At 47.7% G+C, this 26,380-nt stretch overlaps 3 annotated features.

The window, feature by feature from the left end:
* Positions 8,600-8,649: a silencer, noted in NCBI's record as "silent region_15333". NCBI's record gives its function as "represses an Ori minimal core promoter by ATAC-STARR-seq in GM12878 lymphoblastoid cells {active_cell/tissue: GM12878}" and the evidence as "EXISTENCE:reporter gene assay evidence [ECO:0000049][PMID:35858748]".
* Positions 19,557-19,606: a silencer, noted in NCBI's record as "silent region_15332". NCBI's record gives its function as "represses an Ori minimal core promoter by ATAC-STARR-seq in GM12878 lymphoblastoid cells {active_cell/tissue: GM12878}" and the evidence as "EXISTENCE:reporter gene assay evidence [ECO:0000049][PMID:35858748]".
* Positions 19,627-19,706: a silencer, noted in NCBI's record as "silent region_15331". NCBI's record gives its function as "represses an Ori minimal core promoter by ATAC-STARR-seq in GM12878 lymphoblastoid cells {active_cell/tissue: GM12878}" and the evidence as "EXISTENCE:reporter gene assay evidence [ECO:0000049][PMID:35858748]".

The raw sequence follows: 26,380 nt of genomic DNA, 5'->3' as shown, positions 1-26,380 counted from the left end.
AAAAAAAAAAAAAAGATTGTCATTTTTAAAAAGTTTGTCAACTCTCTATTACATGCCGCTCAGGCACCGTGGTCAGTACTGGGAATGAAGAGGTAAATAAAACACAGTTCTTGCCCTCATGGAGCTGATATCCCACTGGGGGAGGCAGGGGTAAGCCCACAGGGGAGAAAAATAAGAAACCTTGAGAACATAGGAGCAAAGTTGAGTACAGGTGGGAGGTGGGGAAGGAAGATATGGTCTCCCAGCAAAGATGCCAGCTAGGCAGAGGTGGGCAGGAGCTCCCCACACTCAAAGGACTGCCTAAGCCCTGGTGTGACTGGGCACAGAAAGGCAGAAAGGGCCTGGATGAGGCTGGACGAGCCAGCAGAAGCCAGACGTGGGCCCTGGGGGCTAAAATCTGAGTCCTAGCATTGATTGAGAAAGCGATTGAGAATGCTTGACAAGGGAAGTGATGGAATGAGATTGCATTTTTAAATGGATCTCTCTATCATAGAATGTGCTGGCGGGGTCAGAGTGGGCTTACTTAGCAGGACTAGTTAGGGGGCTCTTGACTGGGTCTGGGCCGGAGAGGACACTGGCTTGGATGAGACAGTGGAATCTCTTGCTCTTTTCATCTTTGGGGGACCTGCCAACAACCAAACTAATTAAATTCTTGTAGGGTTGAGCGGGCAGCATTCCCATTTATTCAGATGGAAACACTGTTAGAGGGGGCCCTAATCAAGGTATTTCTGCCCCCTACGGGTGGTGAAGAGAAACAGCTTCTTGGAGAGGCAGAGAGTACAAGCCACATGGAGCCCAGGTATGTGGGCTGCTGAAAGATTGTTACGGGACTGAATACTTCCCCTGTCAATGCACAGGAGGCCATTCCTAGCTCCTTCTGCCCCACCACTGATGTTGTTTTCATCCAGCATATCTTAAAAAGGACAGGCCTATAATAGGAAATTAAAGCTGGGTTTTGGCTTAGAACCTATGAACAACCCAGTTCCCTATCCAGCAAAAGTCCCACTGATTGGGAACGGAGGGGAGGGCTGGGTGAATTAGACTGAATTTTCAATTACAGCATGTTTTAAAAAAAAAAAAAAACACAGCATGATGACTTTCAAGGACAAAGGTGAACCAATTAGGAGTAAATGGTTTTCCTTTCTCTAATAGGCTAAGAGGCAGCCACGGTGTTATTACCCACAGGTGTGCTCCCATCGGCCGTGAGGCATATTGCTAATGACAAGAATAAGAAAATATTCATAATAAGGCAGTTATCACCTACTGAGTATTTACCATTAGCAGGCACATTGCCAAGCATTTAGTTTGCATAATCAGATCCAATCCTAACGGACCCTCCAGCATAGGAGTTCTATTATCATACCCATTCTGCAGATGAGAATGCTAAGACTCAAAGAGGGTAAGTAACTCACCCAGCGCCACACAGCCTATAAGTGAGGGGGTCAGAATGGGAATCTGAGATTGTCTGACTTCCAAGCCTATAGTCTACTTCTAACAATGGAGAAGACATCAATGGTTTTGTGTGAATTACTTATTTTGTAAATTAAAGTGAGTTCATGGTCATCCCTCTGTGAATGTCACTCTCAGTTGCAAGTACTGGTGGCTCCAGGGAGTGTGTATGACCCTGGGTGTATCAAAGACATGGGTCCTGCTGGCAAAGGTCATGTGCCTTCTATGTTCAACAGGAGAAAGGCTGAGAACTAATGGCCTGGTGAAGAGATAGCAGACTGATCCCAGGGAAAAGATGTCTGTGTGGGTCTGTCTTAGACCACCCCTCTTGAACTTTCAGCCTCCTTTCCCCTTTACTCCATGTGCTGGTGGCCTTCTTCAAGGTGCCTGCTTCGCATCCCCAGGGCTGTATGGCTCTGTGACTCCCTGGCCTCTGAAATGCCCTGCATGGATCATCTGAATCCTAGGGACAGCCTCCCGCTATGGGGTCCCAGGCAGTGAGGCTTGCTGGGACCCAGGAAGCTCCTCATCTAAAAATAAACTGAGCGGCCCCTAACTTCAGCCCCTCTAATCCAGTCTTCCCAAAAGCAGGCAGAGGAAAGTTTTGAAGGTCAGGCCGACACTCTCGCTCACCTTGAGATGCCTCAGCAGTTCCCCTTACCTTTGGTACATGGTTCAAATGATGCTTCCTGGACCTGCCCTCTTCTTACTTCTCCAGGCCTGGCTCTTTCTCTCACTCTACCCTCACTCTACCCTCCAGCTATATTCAGCTGTTAGCAGTTCTCCAAATGCCCTCGTGTACTCTCGCCTCTCTTGCCTTTGTCTGTGCTGAAGCTGCCACCTGTAATGCAGTTTCTTCCCACTCCCTACTTCCTAAGACTCAGAGCTGGAAGTGGTAGCACATGCCTATAATCCCAGCACTTTGGGAGGCTGAGATGGGTGGATCACCCGAGGTCAGGATTTCAAGACCAGCCTGGCCAACATGCTGAAACCCCGTCTCTACTAAAAATAAAAAAATTAGCAGGGCGTGGTGGTGGGCGCCTGTAATCCCAGCTACTCGGGAGGCTGAGGCAGGAGAATTGCTTGAACTTGGGAGGTGGAGGTTGCATGAAGTCGAGATCGCACCCACTGCATTCCAGCCTGGGTCGAGCAAGACTCTGCCTCAAAAAAAAAAAAAAAACACAAAAAAAAACTCAGCTCTGGGGTTACCTTTTCTGGGACACTTTTCCTGACTTCCCTTGCACCTCTGTCTGCATTCCGGCCTTCTTCTCCCAACTGTGAGCATATTTCTATAATAGACTTTCTCACATTGTGTTACGGTGGGTGCACGTGTGTGTTTTCTGCTTGTTTCCTCTATTCTCAGTGAGCACCAGGTGAATCACATGCACATTGAAACCTGAGAATCGCTGGTCTCTTTGCCCAGGAGGAAAAGGGGATGGGTTGGATACAGAGCTTGCCAGTCTCTGCCAGTTTTGCTGATGTACCCAATCAGAAGCCATGTCTTTGATTGAAAACCTGTGCTTGTCCCTATCACAGCTGCTTCATAGAGGTTAGGGGTATGAGCTCTGAATTTAGACATACGAGTCTCCACCCTGTTACCACCTATTACCTGTGTGGCTTTGGGTGAGTTGCTTGCCTTCTCTGAGCTTCAGTTTCTCATCTGTTGGGTGGAGATCATTAATAATACAATTAAATGAGATAATTAATGTGAAGAAAATCCTTTCTGCACAGTTCTTGGCACAAAACGAATGCTCAGTACATGCCTGTTATTGTTATGGGTGATGTGTATAAGACAAGGCTTTGATTAAGCACAGACGTTTAATCTCAGCAAAGTCTCAATTCAATTACACATATATTAATTTAGTGCCTTTGTCTTTCAGGGTGTTTGCCAGATGCTGCAAAGAGAAAAAGACTCAATTCTTCCTAAAGAGTTCACAAAAGACTTGGGGGAATAACCTGATCAAACGACTCAAATTCATGGAATGGGACCCACTCCATAAAATAAGGACTCTGAAGTTTCAAAGAGTGTTTGAGAGAAAGAAAAAAAAGCTCACATCCCGTTGAGTGATTAGGAAAGGCTTTATGAATTGGTTAGTATTTGAAAGGGCCTTGAAGTGAGGATACAATTTCATGGGTCTTGGGGTAGAGAGGGCACTCATGGCAGAAGAAAGAGCCTGATCCGAGGCACAGAGGTTCTTCAGAAGATGGCAAGTTTCCAGGTGACTTTTCATATAGGCTGGGTTTGGGAGAGCACTGGGACATAGCCTGGAAATATACATTGATGGCAGAATTTGCATTTAATCCAGGAGGTAAATGGGAAGCCATTGGATGCCATTACTTACCCCACTAATGTCAATATATCTCATGCTTCGAAAGTGCAGTTATATGGGTGGGAAAGATGGCAGATGAGCCCTCTAGTGCTTTTCTGACCACCCGTAGTAGATGCTATTGGTGCCCCACCCAGGTCCCTTGATGGGGCTGCTGCACGCATCCCCTAGCGCCTGCTAGGGTTAGATGCGAACAGCGCACAGTGGCCCCCTTCTCCAAGAATTGCCCTTGACCAACCCAACAGGAGCTGCCTGACCCAGAAGGTGAATGCCCCCCTTCAAGAGGTAGCTCACTGCCAATGACTCATAGTCATGGGGTACAAAAGGTCAGCTCCCTTGCCTCAGGGCAGGACCCACTCCGTGTGCAACTCACACTTCAGAGCTGCCCATGAAGTCAGGCTGAACAAGACCACAGCTGATGCTACATCCTTGTTTAGCACCTTCCCCTGCCCCGTCCAGCTTCCCTCGCAGCCCTTTGCTCCAGACCCAAGACACCACCCTCTCTCAAGGAGAGCTTTTCTTCTTTTGTCCCTCAATTCTTTCTTTCTCTTGTTTGCTTGTGACTCTGGGCCCAAGATACAGCTTCTTTCCTCTTCTCTGGGATTTCACCAGCAAGAGATTGTTGAAAATGTCAGTGACCTGGTCCTGGCCCCTGGGTCATGGACACCAGGACCAACAGATTTTAAAGTGATTGGCGTAGTATGGTGAAAAGTGGGGTAAATAGAGTATGGCTCAGTCATGTCTCCTGGTCCCTGGGGAATATAAAACCAGAAAAAATCAGAGCGCTGTGGCTCATGCTTATAATCCTAGCACTTTGAGAGGCTGAGGCAGGATTGTTTGAGGCCAGGAGTTCGAGACCAACCTGGGCAACATAGTGAGAACTCCGCCTCTCCAAAAGAAATAAAAAATAAAAAGTTATCTGGACATGGCGGTGCACACCTGGGGTGTTAGCTACTTGGGAGGCTAAGGTGGGAGGAAGGCTTGAGCCTAGAAGTTCAAGGCTGCAGTGACTTATGATCGTGCCACTGTATTCTACCCTGGGTGACAGCCAGACCCTGTCTCTAAAAATTTTTTTAAATAAAATATAATAAAACCCGAGAAAAACAGGGAAACAGATTTTTTAGAAAATTATTTCTGCATCTTTTTGATATTCAATCAGTTACAAAATAACAATGATAATGTGGGGTCAATAGGGCTCTTCCTTCTGGGAACACAGCAGGATTGCCCTTTCTTCCCTTTTGAAGTTAAGTGTGGCCACATGACTTGTTTTGGCCAATGAAACATGAATAGAAGCAACCTCTATCCATCCTGGGGAGAAGCTTTAAGAGCCAGCGTGGCTTTTTCTAGATTCTGTTTTCCTCTGTCGTGGTGGCCAGCAACATTAGAGATGGCAGCTGCTCCATCAACCTGAATTTCTGAATATGTAATATGAGCAAAAATAAAAACTGTATTATTTTAAGCCACAAAGACTTTGGGGCTGTTATTGCAGTATACGGTCTGATACATATAATTTTTTAAAATGACAATATGCTGACTCTATGCCAGGCACTGTTCTAAATGCTTTCCATTTGTTAACTCATTTAATTCTCATATCAACCTATGAGGCAGATACTAGTATTATCCCATTTTATAGATGATAATATGGTGGAGGGGCAAACAGGTTAAGTGTCTTGTCCAAGGTTATACAACTAGGAAGTGGCAGCTCCAAAATTCAAACCCAGGCAGCCTAGTTTTCATTCATCATGTATATCACAGAAAAGATCATGTAAAGACTCCTGTAATTTAAAAGTCCAGGTATTACCTGCTTCAGGCACAGCTGGTGAGAGGTGACAGCGTGCTGGCAGTCCTCATAACCCTCGCTCGCTCTCGGCGCCTCCTCTGCCTGGGCTCCCACTTTGGCGGCACTTGAGGAGCCCCCTCAGCCCACTGCTGCACTGTGGGAGCCCCTTTGTGGGCTGGCCAAGGCCCGAGCCCACTCCCTCAGCTTGCAGGGAGGTGTGGAGGGAGAGGCGCCAGCGGGAACCGGGGCTGCGCACTGCGCCTGCCGGCCAGCTGGAGTTCCGGGTGGGCGTGGGCTTGGCGGGCCCGGCACTCGGAGCAGCCGGCCGGCCCTGCCGGCCCCGGGCAATGAGGGGCTTAGTACCTGGGCCAGCGGCTGCGGAGGGTGTACTGGGTCCCCCAGCAGTGCAGCCCACCGGCGCTTCTCGCCCGGCCTTAGCTGCCTTCTCGCCCGGCCTTAGTTGCCTTCCTGCGGGGCAGGGCTCGGGACTGCAGCCGGCCATGCCTGAGCCTTCCCCCGCCTCCGTGGGCTCCGGTGCAGCCCAAGCCTCCCCGCGAGCGCCGCCCCCTGCTGCACGGCGCCCAGTCCCATCAATCACCCAAGGGCTGAGGAGTGGGAGCACATGGCGCAGGACTGGCAGGCAGCTCCACCTGCAGCCCCAGTGCGGGATCCACTGGGTGAAGCCAGTTGGGCTCCTGAGTCTGGTGGGGCCTTGGAGAACCTTTATGTCTAGCTCAGGGATTGTAAATACACCAATCGGCACTCTGTATCTAGCTCAAGGTTTGTAAACACACCAATCAGCACCCTGTGTCTAGCTCAGGGTTTGTGAGTGCATCAATCCACACTCTGTGTCTAGTTGCTCTGGTGGGGCCTTGGAGAACCTCTGTGTCCATACTCTGTATCTAACTAATCTGATGGGGACGTGGAGAACCTTTGTATCTAGCTCAGGGATTGTAAACGCACCAATCAGCACCCTGTCAAAACAGACCACTGGGCTCTACCAATCAGCAGGACGTGGGTGGGGCCAGATAAGCGAATAAAAAAGCAGGCTGCCCGAGCTAGCAGTGGCAACCCGTTGGGGTCCCCTTCCAGTCTGTGGAAACTTTGTTCTCTGCAATAAATCTTGCCGCTGCTCGCTCTTTGGGTCCACATTGCTTTTTTGAGCTGTAACACTCATCGCGGAGGTCTGCAGCTTCACTCCTGAAGCCAGCGAGACCACGAGCCCACCGGGAGGAACCAACAACTCCAGACAGGCTGCCTTAAGAGCTGTAACACTCACCGCAAAGGTCTGCAGCTTCACTCCTGAGCCAGCGAGACCACGAACCCACCAGGAGGAATAAACTCCAAACACATCCGAACGTCAGAAGGAACGAACTCCAGACGCGCCACCTTAAGAGCTGTAACACTCACCCGGAGGGTCCGCGGTTTCATTCTTGAAGTCAGTGAGACCAAGAACCCACCAATTCTGGACACGCTGGATCCAGGTGCTCAAAAAGGTATCAATTGGAATCACTCTCTATGTTCTGCTTTTTTCTCTGTGTTGCCTTCATCCTCACATGCTTTTCCAATGAAGAGGCCTCCACCTCTCCAGGCTTGCTTCCAGTAGCAACTACAGGGGGGATAAATTTTCTTCCCCAATAATTCTGGCAAAAAGTCTTTCTTTTGATTTGAGGCGGAGTCTCGCTCTGTCACCCAGGCTGGAGTGCAGTGGTACAATCTCGGCTCGATGCAACCTCTGCCTCCCAGATTCAAGCGATTCTCCTGCTTCAGTCTCCCAAGTAGCTGGGATTACAGGTGCCCGCCACCATGCCTAGCTAATTTTTGTATTTTTAGTAGAGATGGGGTTTCACGCATTGGCCAGGCTGGTCTCGAACTCCTGACCTCAAGTGATGTAACTGCTGTGGCTTCCCAAAGTGCTGGGATTACAGGTGTGAGCCACCACGCCCGGCCAAATTCTGGCAAAAAGTCTTTAGGGAACCATCTTTCTTCCACTGTCAATCCCCATCATTTTGTGGGGCTTCACCTGAAGAAGTGCAGTGAAGGCTGAGCCAAGGACAGCAACCGTCTCCTGCATATGTGTGTGATCAAGACCATTAATAACTGAGAGCTTCTGAGAATCTGCCAAAGGGCATGAGAACTCTCACATCTGCAGTTGCTAGAGTCATAAAAATAAACAACAACCCCTCAGATGAATACCAGTTATATGGTCACACATTGTCATGGAATTAAAGATGGCAAAATTCCAAATTGGAAGTCCTGGGACTTGCATGCATACTGGAAGGATTCCTGGATTTTATTTCGTTTTATCCTTGTTCTTCCTCCTGTCCCTGAGTTCCTCTTACTCTCCCTTCCTCAGCTTGTGCTGCAGACTCACATACACAGAGGTTCACATGCACACTTATTTTCCCCAGACTACAAACACACATACACAGAGACACACAAACATAGATACACACAGACACACACACACACACACTGTATGTGCATGTGTCTTCAGAGCGTTGGTAGAAGGGGCAATGGATTAGGGGTCATGAGGCCTGGCTTCTTGTTCAGCTCCAGTCTCTGTGAACTTGGGGCTGCCACCACCTTGCTCTGGGTTTCAGTTTTTTTCACCCGAAAAATGTGGCCTTGTACCAAATGATTCCAGACACCCTTCCCAGCTCCCCCATTGTTCTTAGTTCCCAGCTCCCCTCCCAATTTCCTCCCTTAAATCTACCTCCTGGCCCAGAGCCCTGGACTCCTCCCTGGCCTCAGCAGGGCTCCAGCCCAGGCCCAGCTCCAGGCCCTGCAGTGTGTGCCCCTGACCCCTACTGTTGACAGTGGCTCCCCAGGGCTCAGCTCACTGAGGACAGTGCTCCACTGCACTCTGCCAGCACTGCTGCAAATTCTTGGGCCTGTCCTTAAGAATGCCCCCCGCCAACTTCCTCCAATAATTCATGCCTCAAATGGGATTCTTGAGAGGCAAAAATGCAGGAAATCATATTAATATGCATTGAAATAAAACACAGCATGCACAAGGCAATATGGCATTATTGCCAAAGAAATACCCAAGTTGGCATCCAAGACCTTTGCCAAGCACCTTAGGATACCGCTCAGTTCACTGTCTTAGTGATAGTCCAAAGTCTGTCCGTGAGAGGGAGGCCATCTAGTGGTTAAGGGATGCACTTGTAGTGCAACAGGCCCAAGACTGGTCTGCCGCTTCCCTACTCTATGACCTTGGGCCAGGACTTAATCTCTCAATGGGCCTCAATTCCTTATAGCAAAATGGCGGTGATAACTACAGGCCCTAGTTACCTCCTGGGACTGTGTAAGGGTTAATAAGATCGTGTGTTTAAACCCCATAGCAGGCTCACCCATTGCTGATGATTCACATTTTCTAGAATCAAAAGCTGAATGGAATATTACAGAGCTGTTAAAAAAGAGAAAACACCCACGTAGCATTTCTGGGGGTGGTAAAATAATAATAATAACAAAAAAAGAGAAAACTCTTCATGTACAACTTGGGATATAGTGCCCAGTGACAAAAGGAAGGCAAAGAACAATTTGTGCTATTTCAAATCTTTTGTTTAAAAGAAAAGAGGAAAATGCAAATTTGGTTTACATAAATATAAATAAATCTGAATACACAATATGCACACTTTGTAAATTTGCATGAGAAAATAGTAGTCATGTTGACTTTTGGGAGAAAGGGAACTGAATGAGTGAAAACCAGAGATGGTTTCACTGTATGCCTCTTAATATATTTAATGTTTCCCAGAATTTTGCCCCATGCAAATATATTCAAAAAGTTGAATTTCAAAATGCTAGAAATAAAACAAAAGGCATTTCTATTTATTTGCTGAAAGTTGTAGGGTCCGGGGCTGGAAGGAGAGGGACTTCTGTGCAGGGTTTCGTTTTTGACTCTTAGGACAGGTCCAACAAACTGAGGAAATGCCACTTCTAGCCACCTGAGAAATTTACAAAGACTGAGAAATTTACAAAGAAATTTAAAAAGCTACTGGAACCCAATCTATGGTCAGGGATTCCTATGAGGGAGATGGAGCAAGTGATCTAGCATGTGATTCATTGCTGTCATTGGCATCATCACCATCCCTAGTATCAAATGGAATGTTGGTATGATGACTTAGTTTACACAGTGATTTCACATGTATCACCTCATTGGATTTCCCAGCCATACACTGAAGTTAGCATTCACGTTTTTATTGTTCTTCTTACTTTTATGGTCGGTAGCAGACACTGTCATTGCCCCTCCTTACGCCCTGGGTTCTCACCATCCCTGATGGCTCCTTACTGTAAGCACCAGTGGTCCCTTCCTGTCTCAGTCGGTTCTGGCTGCTATTTAAGAAAAAGAAAAAGAAAAAACACCAGAGACTGGGTGGCTTAAACAACAAGCCTTTATTTCTCACAGCTCTGGAGGCTGGGAAGTCCAAGACCAAGGCACCTGCAGATTGGGTGTTGGATGAGGGCCCGCTTCCTGGTTTGCAGATGGCTGTCTTCTCATTGTATTCTCACATGCTCAAAAGCAGAAAGAGTGGGCAAACTCTTGCGTCTCTTCTTATAAGGGCACTAACCCCACCCCAAGGGCTCCACCTTCATGACCTAATCACCTCCCAAAGGCCCACCTCCTAATTCAATCACATGCAGGGCTAGTGTTTCAACACAGGGATTTTGGAAGGATGCAAACATTCAGCCCATAACATGCCTAAGAGGTTTCTTCAGCCACAGGCTCTGGCTCAGCCTGTGCTAGGGACAGACCAGAGGTGCCAAGGAGCTAATGCCTCTAGGAGCAGCCCTTGCCCTGTGGCTGATGGCAGCTGGTAGCTAAATCCCCATGCTTCCTCCCCCCTTGGGTGGGACAGCTCTGAGGTGTGCTCCACAGTCTCTCAAAGATACCTACTGGGATTAGTTCCCAGTTGCCCTCCGTGGTGACCTAACCTGCTCAGTCAAGCTCTCTGGGTTGCTTTTCTGTCTTCTCTTTCCCATGTCTCCTCTTGACTCCCCTCCTGGCATTTCTCGTGATCCTGTCCAGAGGAGCTACTTGCTCTCCCATCTTGTCTCAGGCCTGCCTGTAGGAGAACCGAGCCCAAGTCAAAGGCACATCTCTAGTGAGTGAGCCATCAGGGACTGACCCAGTGCTGGTTGCAAAGCCCAAGCTCTGTCCACCCCATCAAGCTGCTGTCCTCATGGGCTCTCACAGAAGACAAAAGCCAAAACCAAGAGGGCCAGCATTCTCTTCAAAGCCCAGGCAGAGGAAAGCCACCGAATCAAGCACATCCATGAGCTCTGAGCATCCTCACATTCAAAGCAAAAGAAAACATGATGCCAGTTCACCAGCACAAGTATTTAAACCTGTCTTTCAGAACACTTTAAAATAGTTCATTTTTTAAAAAGCATTCATTTCACGTTTGAAAAATAACTAAATATTCATCCAGGCTTGTTCACAAATGTGCTACTTTCGTTTATTGAATGCCTTGCTTTCCTGTCAAAGAATTACATTGTCACTTAAAGTCCTCTTTCATTTTCTTACAAAATCAGATCATCATCTTGAAGGGAGCTATGTGGCAAGATTGGCAAGGGGGCCATGGAAGGCTTTGGAAGGAGCTAATATTTGGGCTGAGACCCTGCAGGTGAGTAGTTGGTCCAGCAGGCAGAAAGTTGGGATGGTGTTTCCCTGGCACAGGACTGGCCTGTGTGTGTGCATGGATGCCAGAGAACATGCTCCATGACAGCTGGGCTCTGAGCCAGCTGGAACAAGCAGAAGAAACGTGTGTGAGTGAACAGGCAGGCACGCCACACTCTGCCTCCCAGGCTATAACAAGAAAAAAGAGAAAATGAATGTCGAATGGGGAAACCACCTGGTTTCCTCTAGACCAAGAGTGGGGCCCTAAGGGCGAGCATGCCCTGGCACCCGCACTGAGCAGGGCTTTGTGCGACACCCTTGAGTCATCTGGGAAGGTTCTGCAGCAGTACTATCGATAGCTCTGGGACAGTAGAAGCCTTGTTAAAGACCCAATCTCCTCCATAAGATACTAACTATTGAGCTGGGGTCCGAGGGAAGTCCTTTAACCGGGTCAGGGGCCCATTCCAGGGACCAGGATGGATGATCAGGAGTGTTTTTGGTACTCATAGACTGGCTTGTGCTCTCAAATATTTTAAATGGTAGAGATGCAAGATCAGAAGTTTGGGCTGGGCATGGTGGCTCATTCCTGTAATCCCAGCACTTTGGGAGGCCGAGGCAAGCAGATCACTTGAGGCCAGGAGTTCGAGACCAGCCTGGCCAGCACAGTGAAACTCCATCTAAAAATACAAAAAATTAGCAGGGTGTGGTGGTGCACAACTGTAATCTCAGCTACTTGGGAGGCTGAGGCATGAGAATTACTTGAACCTGAGAGGCAGAGGTTGCAGTGAGTTGAGATCATGCTACTGAACTCCAGCCTGGAAAACAGAGTGAGACTCTTTTTTAAAAATAAATAAATAAATAAATGTAAAAAAAAAAAAGTTTGGAGGAACTGTTCTATGACACACTCAGCACATATGTTGTAACCGGTTGATGTGAGCCCCCGTCACTCTCTTGCTCCCTCTCTTGCCATGTGATGCGCCTGCCCCTACTTTGCCTTCCACCATGAGTAAAAGCTTCCTGAGGCTCCCCCTAGAAGCTGAGCAGATGTTGGTGCCATGCTTGTACAGCCTGCAGAACCATGAGCCAATTAAACCTCTTTTCTTTATGAATTACCCAGTCTCAGGTATTCCTTTCTAGTAACATAGAAATGGACTAATGTAGTTATATATTTTTTAAAGGTATTGTATTTTAAAAACAGCAGCAATAGTGATAGGAAGCTTGGACTTCCCTGGACAATCTGAGATTAAGTGTAGGGGATCTTGATCTCCTCAGCATCTGACTATAGCTTCCCAGGAAGCTCTGATTTCCATCTGTGCGTCCAGTGACCCCATAGGTGTTGGCCCCACCCCAGTTTTAGGAAGAGAGCATGCAATCCACACCAAGCCAATCAGTGGGCTGCTGCCTTGGCCACAGGAATTGGTTAAAATGGCAGGACCTAATCTAAGCAAAGTGAAGTTCAGGGCTCGTGTTTAGAAATGTGGGACAAAGGCATTCTCTGTCTTCTTCAGATGAGGTCTGGCTTCTGGATGTGAGGATTAGAGCTGCTGCAGTCATTTTTGCTACCCAGAAGGAGGCCACCCTAAAAACAGTTCACACACGGAAGAGACTGGTGCTGAGAAAATGTTGGGAAGGAGAGTGGACTGGGTGCAGTGGCTCACACCTGCAATCGCAACTACTCAGGAGGCTAAGGAGGGAGGATTGTTTGAGGCCAGGAGTTCAAGACCAGCCTGGGCAACATAGGGAGACCCCTATCTCTAAATGAAAGTGGGAAAAAATGGCTGGGCACAGTGGCTCACACCCGTAATCCCAGCAGTTTAGGAGGCTGAAGCAGGCGGATCACTTGAGGTCAGGAGTTCGAGACCAGCCTGGCCAAAATAGTGAAAACCCATCTCTTCTAAAAATAGAAAAATTAGCCAGTTATGGTGGTGGGCACCTGTAGTCCCAGCTACTCAGGAGGCTGAGGTGGGAGGATCACTTGAACCCAGGAGGCGGAGCTTGTAGCGAGCCAAGATTGAACCACTGCACTCCAGCCAGCCTGAGTGACAGAGTGAGACTCTATCTCAAAAAAAAAAAAAAAAGGGTGGGAAAAAATTATCTGGAAATGGTGGCATATGCCAGTGGTCCTAGCTACTTGGGAGACTGAGGCTGGAGGATCACCTGAGCCCAGGAGTTCGAGGCTGCAATGAACCGTGATCATGCCACTGCACTCTAGGCTGGGCGATAGAGCAAGACCCTATCTCAAAAAAAAAAACAACAAAAAATTCAGTGTTGGCCCTAATCATATTTAGACGCTCTGGAACAAATTGTGCCTGAGATTACCTTCAATTTGGACTTGTGGATTACATAACCTAATCAATGTACTCTCTCAGATGAGCCCCAGCCAGGAAAAGAGAAACCACAGTAGATATTTCAAAACAGGAGATTTAGTAAAAGAATTTTACACAGTGACAGATGAAAATGAGGATGCTGCGATAACTCGGGAGTAGGTTACTCCTAGGGCTGGCAGAAAAGAGGGGAGAGGGTGATTACCAGAGGAGGGTCTCATGATGCTGGTGCCGGGCTCCTGGGGGGAAACTGCATAGCTTGTGTTCAGACCACTGAAGAGGAGGGGGCATGATTTGACAGATGCTCGCACCCCCAGGGTGGTGGGCCAGGAATTGCTCTGATGCCCACAGTGAGTAGGTGAGGAAGCTGTCAAGCTTCTCCTCCACCCCCTAGGTCCCAGGCTGTTGGTGGGCTCCAGCACCTCTGCAGGTGCATGGTGAGGGGCACCTGGGAATGCTGAATGGAGCTGGCAAGTGGAGCTCACCGTCTGCTCCTGCTAGAGGGACACTGCCAGGAGCTGAAGGACAACAATGAGGTCCTTCTCCTCTTCTCTTGCCCCAGTCTCCCTCTAGTGCCTCCTGTGGGCATAGTCTGTCAATTGTGGCTTGCAGAGTACCCTTCTGGCATCACAGGGCAGTAGGGTGAGCTTAGACATGACAGCCGAGAGGTAAAGGGCGGGTCTCACCAGCTCCCACTGGGCTTCCATTCCTTGCATCCGGCTGGTACACTTGATTATCATAATTACCGCAATTAGAGCCTTAGCCCATTTTTCCTTGGGCCATAATCTGGAAACCATTTTGATCGTCCTAAATTCTATTTACTTTCAAATCTTCTGTGGATAGCTGGGGCGCCCATCTTCCGGCCTCTTGGATGAGAAGACCAAGCTCAGGGAGGCCAGATACCAGCTTCACTCCAAGTTGACCACTTCCATTCTGGAAAAGCTCCCAGAGCAAGGAGACTTCAGGACCCACTGCAAGAGGAAACCTGAGGCTCCTTCTTGGGGTGGGAATCGGAAGAGGATGTTTTCTGGTTACAAGAAACAGAAAGCCTGCCTCAATTGGCTTAAACAATGAGAAAATACAGTAGTCTCCCCAATCCACGGTTTCAAGTTCTGCAGTTTCAGTTACCCACAGTCAACTGTGGTCTGAAAATATTAAATGAACAATTCCAGAAATAATTTATAAGTTTTAAATTTTGCACCATTCTAAGTAGCTGATGAAATCTCTCATAGTCCTGCTGTGTTCTGCCTGGGACATAAATCATCCCTTTGTTCATCATATACACACTGTAGATGCTGCCTGCCCCTTAGTCACCATCTTGGTGATCAGATGGCCCCAAGTAGCCATCTTGGTGATCAGAACAACCTTCGAGGTAGCACAGCGCTTGTGTCTTTTCTTTTACTTAATAATGGCTCTAAATTCAAGAGCAGTGATGCTGACATATTTTTATACTCGCTTTATTTTATTATTATTGTCATATTAGTCCATTCTCACACTGATGATAAAGACAAACCCAAGACTGGGTAATTTATAAAGAAAAAGAGGTTTAATGGACTCACAGTTCCACATGGCTGGGGAGGTTTCAAAATCATGGCAAAAAGGCAAAAGACACATCTTACATGGAGGCAGGAAAGAGAATGAGAGCCCAGCAAAAGGGGTTTCCCCTTATAAAACCATCAGATTTTGTGAGACTTATTCACTACCATGAGAAGGGGATGGGGGAACCACCCCCATGATTCAATTATCTCCCACCTGCTCCCTCCCACAACACATGGGAATTATGGGAGCTACAATTCAAGATGAGATTTGGGTGGGGACACAACCAAACCATATCACCTACTGTGCCTAATTTATAAATTGAACTTTATCATAGGTATATATGTATAGGAAAAAACATAGCATATATAAGGTTCAGTACTATTGCAGTTTCAGTCATTCACGGGGGATCTTGCAACATATCACCTACACATAACGGGGGATACTGCATAACATCTCCCATACCTGGAACGCTGGGGTAGGCAGTTTCAAGGAAGGTTAACTCCCCAGCTGAACTATACCATGGAGAACACTGGTTGTTTCCATCTTTTCTATCTTGGTCCTCAGATTGGTTCTTTGGGTAGTCCCCTGGCTTGGTTACAATGGCTGCCTCAATTCCAAGCATGATATCTGGATACTGCGTCAGTAGCACCATCTTTTCTTTGTGTCTTTTTTTCAGATCTAGGAAGCCTTTCCCCCAGGCTCCACTATTGGAGTCCCAGGTCACATGTCCATCCCTGATCCCGTCACCATCAAGGGGAATGAACCACAACTGGCTCAGACCAACCAGGATTCACTCTCAAGCTGGGAATATGGTATTTACATAAGTCAGAGTTTGATAGAGAGACAGAAAGTGGCTCTACATATAAACATGCAATGAGAGATTTGTTACAGAGGTTTGACCCTCTGCAGTTGTGGGAACAGGTTCAACTGTCTCTACAGTGCTGTGGCTGTGGCTGGAAGTCCATGGGGTGGGAAGTGGAGAAGAGGAGATGGATGTCAAGTGGAAAAGAGCAAGGACAAGCTGGACCCCATGAGGATGATCTCCATGTGCTGCAGGAGAAATGGGTGTCCTTTGTCACTGAGCTCTGCCACGGCCTTCAGGATGCTGAAGAAGGATCCAGGCAGAGGCAAAGCACTTGCAGGCCCGCCCACCACACTCTGACAATGAAATGAGCCTGGCGACACTGCCTGACCTTTGGAGCTTGACTTCTGCCCTCCAAATCTCAGGCAAGATATCTCTTGTGGCAGAACTGGAAACATACAAGAAAGTGGACTCCAGAAAACTACCATCAGCCTAGCCACACCAATACATGACAAAGCCATCATCGTGACCATCCCTGAGGAGTGATTCCTGAACAAGACTGGGGTGCTGTAAACAAGAAGGAAGGGGAGAATAGATCTGGGTGAGGCCACCCAAAGTGTCTGTGCCCCAAGAGGATCAGTTTTTGCTCGTACTGGAATCTAGTGTTAGGAGGGGTTTGTGTGTGTAAAGTTCACACGAAGATGAGATAAAACAAAACGCATAAATGGAACGCTGTCTCCCTCAGTCTCTCTCTCTCTTCCTCTCTCTCTCTCCTTATCCCCAAAGGATATCTTTGGGGAGAATAAGGTCCTCTGGGCCTATCATGGGCCAACCTCTGGCAGAAAACACTCAAGAAGAATAAACTCATGCCTTCAGCATTTAGTGGTGTGCCTGCCCCACCTCTGAATCACGCCACCCTGTCCACTTCCCCTGCTTGGATCCTGCTCTCTCCACTTCCTGTTCTCATTCCACAAGCACACATTAAGCACCAACTGTGTGCTGGAGGCATTGGTGGCAAGATGAGAAGGAAATGAAGTGGAGCTCCCTCTCTAGGGGGGAACTTCCTTCCTCTGCCCCAAATGGCCCCTCCTTCTACAAACCCGCGCAGATGTCATCCCAGGCACTCGAGCAAAATCCCCAAGGCCCTGCACACGTCTCTGCATGGCTGTAAGTGATTATCTGAAAGCATGTGTGTATGTGGACATGCCACTTTGTTTTTAATGAACGCTTTATTTTTGTTGATCCCATCTTCCCCCTGGAGCACATAAGAACTTTGAAGGTTGGGTTTCTGTTTTCCCCTCTGCTTATAACTACGTGCCATGTGCAGGGCGGCTGTGCTCAAAAGGGAGAAATCCAATAGGATTTTGTTTCCAAAGACAACAAGTAGCATTTTCCCAGAGCCTTGGAAGATGCAAAATGTGTTTTGTACATACAAGCTCCTCTGTTCCTGACATCCCACTCTGTGTGGTCCCTGACACACCTGTTGTTAGCAGTCCCTATTACCGTCTCATTCTACTGATGAGGAAATTAAGGCTCAGGGTGGGGCAGGGGTGGGGTGAGAAAGTTGTAGAAGCTGAGCTCCATCCAGCATGCTCCTGCATCTTGGGGTCCATACTCAGAACCCCAGGTGCACTGACCCCTGGGGTCTGTGGGTGTGAACGCATTGTTACACATTTCCTGGAGGCTTATTCGATGGTGGGCACTGGGCTATGGCTTTCCACACTCTAGTACTAGGTAACACTATATTATCTTCTCTTTTAGTGAGGAAACCAAGGCTTAAGGAGTTTATATAACTTGTAAGTGGCAAAGCTGGAGCTTCAATCTAGGTCTTTCTAATACCAAAATGCATGTCTTTTACTCTTATGTCAACTATGATCTAAAATGATTTGAGTGAACATCTAGAATTCACTTTTCCACACCTATAGAACAGGGCTCTGAGGTTAGACCACCAGGATTAAATCCCAACTCTGCCGCTTTGGGCGAAGTCCTTCATCTCTACAAGTGTTTCCTCTTCTGTACCATGATTAATCAAACAAACAAAAAAATAGTTCCAACTTCATAAGCTTGTTGTGAGGCTCAAACAAAAGGAAAAAAATACGCATGTGCTAGCTTCCCAAGATGTCTGGCACGAGGTGTAAGGTGAGCACCCAGTGAATGTGAGTTTTAATTCTTATCACAGCAATCCTTTTTCTTTTTCTTTTCTTTTTTTTTTTTTTTTTTTTTTTTCTTGAGATGGAGTCTTGCTCTGTCGCCTAGGCTGGAGTGCAGTGGCTCCATCTGGGCTCACTGCAAGCTCCGCCTCCCGGGTTCACACCATTCTCCTGCCTCAGCCTCCCGAGTAGCTGGAACTACAGGCGCCCACGACCATGCCCGGCTAATTTTTTGTATTTTTAGTAGAGACGGGGTTTCACTGTGTTAGCCAGGATGGTCTCAATCTCCTGACCTCGTGATCTACCTGCCTCAGCCTCCCAAAGTGCTGGGATTACAGGCGTGAGCCACTGCGCCCGGCCAGCAATCCTTTTTCTCATTGGCCTTGTACAGTCAGCCTGGCCACAGCTTTCCCAGCATAGCTGTCTTTGTTAGGGCATGATTAGCACTGAAGGGCCTGAATTCTGGGGAGCCTCAGGTTCCCCCAAAGCTTGCACTGGAACCATTCCTGCAGCCGTCCAGGAGATCCTGTGTGTGCAGCAGGGCTCTTATTGATGTCCTATCTTAGCCAGCCCCACTCAGCTGCTGCACACATGTTCCATAAATGGGAATCATTAGCAGCTAGCCCCATAAACACCCCCTCCTAGCCGTGTTGCAGCGTGTGCCAGCTGTGCGGCAACCGCTCAATCAAGCCTATCAGCCCAGATACAAAACAGTCATCGTGTGCATGAAAACCAGCATGCCCTAAAAAGAGCCTTCCAGGAGCCAAGGGGTGGGGGGTTGGGGGAGGAGTGGAGAGGAGGGGGGGACAGTTCCTCCCGGTTGCCTCAACAAACTCTGCTTTCACTCATCTCCCAGCAAAGAACCAGTTAGTTCAGGAGAAGAATCAGAGATCTGGCATGGGCTTCTCCACAGGGACAGTTAAAAGTGATGATCTTCTTTGCATTAAATGCAACTTATTTATTAGGTTCTCCATACCCTCAAGTTAATCGAGGGAGTAGATTCTCTGTAAAGGGGCTGACAGTCTTGATTTTGCAAAGCTGAAGCCGTCCCATTGCAAGCACATAAAAATGCATCATGTATTCAAGTGATTGAAGAGGAAAACCCAAGGAGCTGGGAGCTATGTCAATCTCGCTCATTCTCAGTAGGTTCTGGTAGAGCCCGGGATAGGGAAAGATCCAAAGCATGGCCAGGCTTTTGCTAAATTGGGGTGGAGCAGGAACAGTGGAAGCATGAGGAAGCTGGTGTCTCAGGGAGGGGATACAGGAAGCCAGGTCAGAGAAGTTCAGGTTAATTAACAACCCTGATGCAACCCTGTTGACCACATTGTTCTTCGAAAGAAGATGGGATTAGATGCGTTTAACAAGTGATTCCTTACTTGAGTATAATTATGGCAGTGCATGCTCCGGAGAGTAGGTAAATTCATCTCTCTGAGCCTCAGTTTCTCCATGTGCAAAGTGGAAGTAACTATAGAAGATCAGGTGTTGGAAGAAGCAGGTTGTCTTGGCTGGGGTTATACTTAGGGCTGACACAAAGACATGGTGATTGTCACATCCTCTCCGGAGTACCCACGAGGGTGTGGCTGAGGAAAAGCCCTGGATGTAAATGAGGTGAGAGGCCTTTGGGGTAGCCATGGCTTAGCATGAAACCGCTTCTGAGCTTGAGGCTGCTGAGGTGAACTCCGGGTTACCCCCTGGCTTTCTGCCAGGCAATCCAAGGATCAGAGAGGATCAGAGGGGTAGAAAGAGGAAGGGAAAGAAAGGGGGCGAGGAAAAGGCGGAACAGAGAGGAGGCGACTGTGCCAGCTGGGGAAGAAGAGGAGGCCACCCAGGCAGGGCGGAGGAGCCACAGGGCAGCTTCCTCAGCAGTAGGCACAGCAAGTCCTATGGTCAGCCCAGTACCTAAGGAAGAGGGTGTGTGCAGGGTGCACTGCTGGTTCTTTCTCTGCGGCAGAGGAGGGATCTGGGGCTCAAAGAGATGTAAGGATCTATTTGCTGATCACGTGGCCATTACTGGGGAAAGCACCATCCTAATTGCAATATCCCAGAACCCAGGGCCCACAGCGCTGATGAAGACTGGGCCCCTGTCCACCCAGAGCTCATTATTGGGTTAGGTAGGCATGGTGGCCTTTGGAATCACAGTGTCCATCCCAGGATTTCAGGAGCTGAAGATGGCTCCATTCCTCCCGCTTCTTGCCCATCCTCCATATCTTGAACCCACCAAGCAAACAAACAGCATTTCTCCCTCTCAGGCCTTTGTGAAAATACAGCTCTCTGCCTCTTCTCAGTCCCTTCTTGGAAGTCCTTCCTTGCGGGTGAGAGAGGCAGATGAGGAGGGGGTATGCAGGGGGGAAGCAGGTGCTGCAGAGAGAGAAATGGGAGTGGGGAGGGGAGCCCACCAGTGTTACTTTGCCAACGTTGGAGCCCAGAGGGCTAGGGACAGATACACCAGACATGCAGCCCTAGATGGACTCAGACACCAGGACAGTGACCAGAATTAGATCAATAGCTGGCTAAGGCATGCCACCCAGTCCCCAAACATTGCCCACAGAACCCCACGGCACTTCCCCTGGCTACCCCCATGAGGCTCTCCAGGACAGTCCCTCGAGGCTGGTGGGAACCCCATCCTCTCAGCTCTTTTCTAGCTGTCTCATCAAACCCAAACCAGAATGGAGTCTGTCTCTGCAGAGGGAAACTCCTTATATGGCCTCCATCCCCTTTAAGAACCTTCTGTATTTCTCTGATCGGATGACCCCACTCTGGCCTTCAGGAGGGAAACCTTCTTTGCAAATTCTTGGCAGCACCGTTTCCTATGCTCCCATCTCCTGCACCCCTGATAGTTGAGGCTGCTGAAATGTACCTAAAAGGATGTGTCGCTCTTCCTGAGCCTTTATTATTTCAGTCTTTCTGTCTGCCCAGCTGCCCCAGCCTTGCGTGAAATGTTAATAACTTCAGAAACAAATCTGAGCGATGATGGGGCCAGTCGGGGAGTGCCGGATTCTCATCTTCTGAAAACACATGTGGAAATTTCCCCCTCACTGGCACCTCCAACCTGTGATCCTCCGACATTTCTAAAGTTTGCTTCATTCCTTCATCTCGCCACTTGCTCCCTAGGTTTGATGTTTTGTTTGTTATCCCTTGAAATTATATACCCTCTTAAGAGAGAAAAAGAAAGTTGAACGTGGAGAACAAAGAAAGTTTAGGTTTTTTAAAGCACTTTTATGGAGGCTTTTCATGAACTTTACAAACGGAGTAAAAAACAAGTGTGAAAGGATTTTTCAAGGAAGGAACATGCTTTTGCAATTTGCTGGAAGTTTTCCCTTGTGTTCCAGAAAAGCAGCCTCCCCATTACTCACCAGGGAGGCACGCAGGCCAGGGAGGAAGGGGAATCAGCGAATGAAAACAGGCTTTCCCCGTCCATGTGTAAACGGCACTTAATAATCAAATTGAAAAAACACGCAAGTGAAATTAAAACGTTTTCCAAATGGGCTGCAGCCTTGAGGCCAGACTTTATGGGGCCATGGCCTGGCGTATTTGTATCTCTGCCCTAGTTGGGCCCCAGGCAAAGTAGCTGTGGGGACAGCCAGATTCAACAAGAGGGTAGCAAACAAAGGGCCCCTCAAGGCAACGACTGCGGACAGACAGCACCCCCACCCGTCTCTGTGAATCCACTCTCCAGGGCAATCTCCCATGTCCTGGGACTCCTGCTCAGACCTCTCTCAGATGGCGGAAACTTCGCTTGACCCTGTATCTGCCCTCAGTCACTCACTCCCTCATGCGCTCCTTCATTGACTCACTCAGTCCCATCAACGTTATGGACTGGCCATCTCTTTTCCAATCTTAAAGCAAAAAGAGGAAGAAATCAAAAAGCCCCAAACTTCTCTTGACCCCCTGCCCCCCTTTGTCTGTGACACCCCCACAACTCTGCTCTACGCACTGTTTCCAATGGCTCTCTTCCTAGTCTCTCCCAGGCCTCATCCTGGCAGGCCTTTACTACTTCCCTCCACTCAAAAACTGCCCTGCCGAGGTCAAGGTCAGCTGCGCCTCTGTGTGGATTAACCCAGGCCTCAGGCCTCATTTTTGACCCAGCAGGGGACCCAGATGATCACCTCCCCAGTCCACACTCGGCTTCCAGGGCACCGCTTTCTGTAGGTTCCCTTCCCTCACACTGGCCAGTCCTTCAGAGCCACCTCGGCTGATCCCTACTTTTCTCCTGACCTCTTGCCTTGGAAGGCCCAGTGCTCACTCCTTGGCCCTTTTCTCTTCCTTATCCTCATTCCCTCTGTGATCTCATCTAGTTTTATGGCTTTGAAATCATCTAATTTGCTGATGACTCCCAAATTTTTTTGTCTCCTTTCATGGCTTCTCCCCTGATTTTTTTTTTTTTTTTTTTTTTTTTTTGAGACAGAGTCTCACTCTGTCACCCAGGCTGGAGTACAGTGGCATGAGGCTCACTAAAGACCTTCTGGGCTCAAGCAATCCTCCTACCTCAGCTTCCCAAATAGCTGGGACTACAGGTGTGCACCACCACACCCAGTTAAATTTTAAATTTTTTGTAGAAATGGGGTCTCGTTATATTGCTCAGGCTGGTCTCAAACTCCTGGGCTCAAGCGATCTGCCCACCTCAGCCTTCCAAAGTGCTGGCATTACAGATGTGAGCCACCACACCTGACCTCCCTTGAATTTCAGACTTGCATACCCAGCTGTCTGCTCAACATCTCCACTTGGGTGTTACATAGATATTTCAAACTAAATATGCCAAAAGTTGAGTCAAGTTCAAAGTCTTTACCAATTGCATCCAAGACCTTATGAATTCTACCTTCCGGCAACTTGCTCACCCTCCTCTGGCCACACTGGCCTCCTTGCCTTTCCTTGAACAGGCTGGGCAGGGTCCCCTTTTGGAACCTTTGCATTGACTCTTCCTCTCCTTTGTAAGGCTCTTTCTGCAGATATCCACACAGCTAACTTTAAGTTTAATTTTTTTATGAACCAAGATCCAATCAAAAATATTTTTGTGATTGACCCTTTTTAGCTTCTTTTTAAAAATAACAATGATGAAAAAAAAAAAAAAGTCCTGGCCAGGACTCACACTTGGATTCCCAGCACTTTGGGAGGCCAAGGCAGGAGGATCGCTCAAAGCCAGGAGTTCAAGACCAGTCTGATCAACAAACTGAGACCCCATTTCTATAAAATATTTAAAAATTTAGCCACATGTGGTGGTGCACACCTGTAGTCCTAGCTTCTTGGGAGGATCATTTGAGCCCAGGAGTTTGAGGTTGCAGTGAACTATGATCATACACTGTACTCCAGCCTGAGTGACAGAGTGAGACCCTATCTCAAATACATAAATAAAGAGATCATCCTGATTGTTTTGTAGAGTGTCCCGTGCTCTGAAGTTGTTTGACCATTTTCTTTTGGTGTCATTGGCCTTGTTCTTCTATCTCATGTGGCCTCCTGTCAGTCCTTCCCACACTGCACTCCTTCCTATTGCCCTGTGTTCTTGGCCAGTTCCCCGCCTGTGTCTTTAGCAGCTTGTTCTCAGGCAGCCTCATTTAGGGTTGCTTATCCTTCCTCATTCATGTGACCACCTAGAATGTCGTTGTTCCCCAAGGTTTCATCTTTTCTGAAAATACACAAATTCGTTTACTTCCATGTCTTCATATACCTTTTTAATGTTAAAGGCCCCAAATTTATAGCTCAAATTATCTGCCAGAGTCTCCAGTTGGACATTATTCATTCTTTACTTTCTCTCTCTCTCAGTCTCTCTCTTCTCCCTTTATCTCTAGAACCAATTATGTGCTGGGCATTGCAAATGAATCTAAGAATAAGAGCGACATCCTTCCTGGCCTCATGGAGCTTCCTATAGGAAAGATAGACTATAAACAAATAAGCTGGAGGGTTGGCAGGAGCAATGCATGCAAGGTACCGTAAGCCACATTAAGGACTTTGGACTATAGCCTAGAGGACTGGGAAGCCCCTGATTAGAGGTGATCAGTCTATCATGTGGAAAACAGACCATAGGGGACAAGAGCAGGGACATGCCCAGGCAGAAGATAGGTTAAGATTTGATGGCGCCAGCCCAAACTCAACATAGCACAAACTGGTCATTATTTTTTCCTAAAATGTTTTCTAGTCTTTCTTAGCCAATCACCCAGTTATCTAGACCTGACACCTAGAGCCCCTGCCTTAGTTCAGAGCCTCACAGTTTTGACGGCTGCCTCCTAGATGGTCTCCTCGTCTCAGTCCAGTCTCCCTGCACTCTGTCTTCCTCATGAAGAGAATGGACTTTTCTTCCCTTCTTGCTTCTCCTCCCTGACTTCCTGGAGTTGCTGCCTCCAGGGCTAAGGGAACTGAATATTGTTGTAATAGAACTCAAGAAAAGATTCTATGGCACGCTTATGTGCCAAAACTCTGCTAGTGGATTTGTCTTTTACACCTGGAGACATACCTAGAAGGTTTTGAAGACATTCCAATCTCAGAACAAACTTCCATCTTAGCATTTTATTCCTCCTCCTTCTGACCCATCCAGTTGTGGGGCTGATGAAGCAGATAGTGACCAACAGCCAAAGGGCAGTCCCCTTGTGGAGTGGGGTGGGGAGGGCAGCAAGAGGAAGCCAGAAGCTCAGGACACAAGACTACCTTCTCAGGTGCGCTTTGCAGGCTGAAAGGTGACTGTGGGGTTAGTCCCAATATTTTAGAGGTTAATATGATCTGAGGATGAGTTCAGTTATCCTAGGAGTCTACACTAAACTCCTCAACCCATTCTGGACTTAAATAGATCCAGATGGGAAATTGCACTTGAACTTTACTAGGACGTGACTGAACTTTTTTCAAAGTGTGCACGTGCACATGCCTGCATGCGTGTGCTTCCCTCATTGTCGGGGGGCAGCACAAGCTTCCTGCTCCCACCTCTCAAATGTGAGCAGATATCTGGATTCCTCCAGCATGGAGCACAAGAGGTGAGGTCAATGAACAAAAGGATAAACAAATGAAAGCCACACACTGTGATGTGCTGAACACATCATCATCCAAGGCAGCTGAGAGATGCTTTCTCCTTTGTGTGAGTTGGGATCATAGGCAAAAGGAAGGCCAAGGCCACACACTAGGATACTCAGGAAAGAAAGATGGAGCTGGCAGGGAAGGAGCAGAGCCAAGAAAATGGGAAAGAGGGGAGTGGATGGGGAGCCAAGACCTGTCTTTTAGGTTTCTCAATGGCTTTCTTATAACTATTAAAGTCTGTACCTTTAGCAACATGGTCCTTAGAAAGGCTGAGAAAATGCTTTTTAATTCTGAAGTTGAGAGCTCATTTCAACTCATGTTCACTCTGCTCCCCTGGTCCTCCACTTTGGCATGATTAGAAAGGTTTCAGTCTGCCTGGCTGAAGGTGTAAATGAAAGCTCAGCTGGCTCGAGCCTTCCCACCAGGGCTGTGTAGGTAGATGAGTAATAGGATTCAAAGAAGTTGCATTTCAGAGGGTCTAACCATGGTGATTCATCTCCTCAGTGACCTCCAGGGAAATAAGACCCTGTGGCAGCCAGAAAATACTTCGAAGGTCAGAAATCTGTGCTAGATCTTTATCCTGGAGCCAACAAACAATAAAAATCAGCATTAGTTGATAATATTCCTTGAGTCCCTAGAGAGGTTGGGACTGAAGAACCCAGAGGTAGTCCTTAAACTATTTCTTCTCACATATTTATGAAGTTCTGACAGTGGCCTAGGCATGATATCTGGAGGAGAAAGATTACAAGGTAAGCTCCCTTTTCACTAAAGTACAGTTTAGCAAGGGAGGAAGGCAATGGCACAAGTGATTGTGATTCAGTGAAATAAGGACCATAAGAGGGCATAGTATGTAAGGCTAGGAAGATGCAGAGGAAGTCAAGGCTACCTGTCTTTGATTAAATTAGAAAATGGACTTTTGAGAGATGAGGTGTTTTTTGTTTGTTTGTTTGTTTGTTTTTGTTTAATGAATAGGAGTTCTTCAGAAAGAGGGGTGGAAGATGCCTCCAGGCTGACTCTCTAGCCAGAAGGAACATGCAATAAAGGTTCCAGGGGAAAGAAAGCAGAGATTTGAACAGGGTTTGTACACCAATGTTCATAGCAGGATTATTCATAAGGGTGAAAAGATGGAAACAACCCAACTTTTCATCGATGGCTGACTGGATAAACAAAATATGGGCCATGCCTACAACGGAATATTATTCAGCCATAAAAGTGAATGAAATCTGACACATGTTAAATATGGATGAATCTCAAAGACCTTATGTGAAATAAGCCAGACACAAAAAAACAAATAGTGTATGCTTCCACTTATATGGATTATCTGGAGTAGTAAAATTCATAGAGACAGAAAGTAGAATGGTTTCCAGGGGCTTGAGAGAAGGGAGAATGCTTT

This window comes from Homo sapiens, chromosome 4 (genome assembly GCF_000001405.40).
Source record: "Homo sapiens chromosome 4, GRCh38.p14 Primary Assembly".
NCBI lineage: Eukaryota > Metazoa > Chordata > Mammalia > Primates > Hominidae > Homo > Homo sapiens.
The sequence above is the reverse complement of the archived record's forward strand: the minus strand, read 5'-3'. Positions and strand labels throughout refer to the sequence as shown.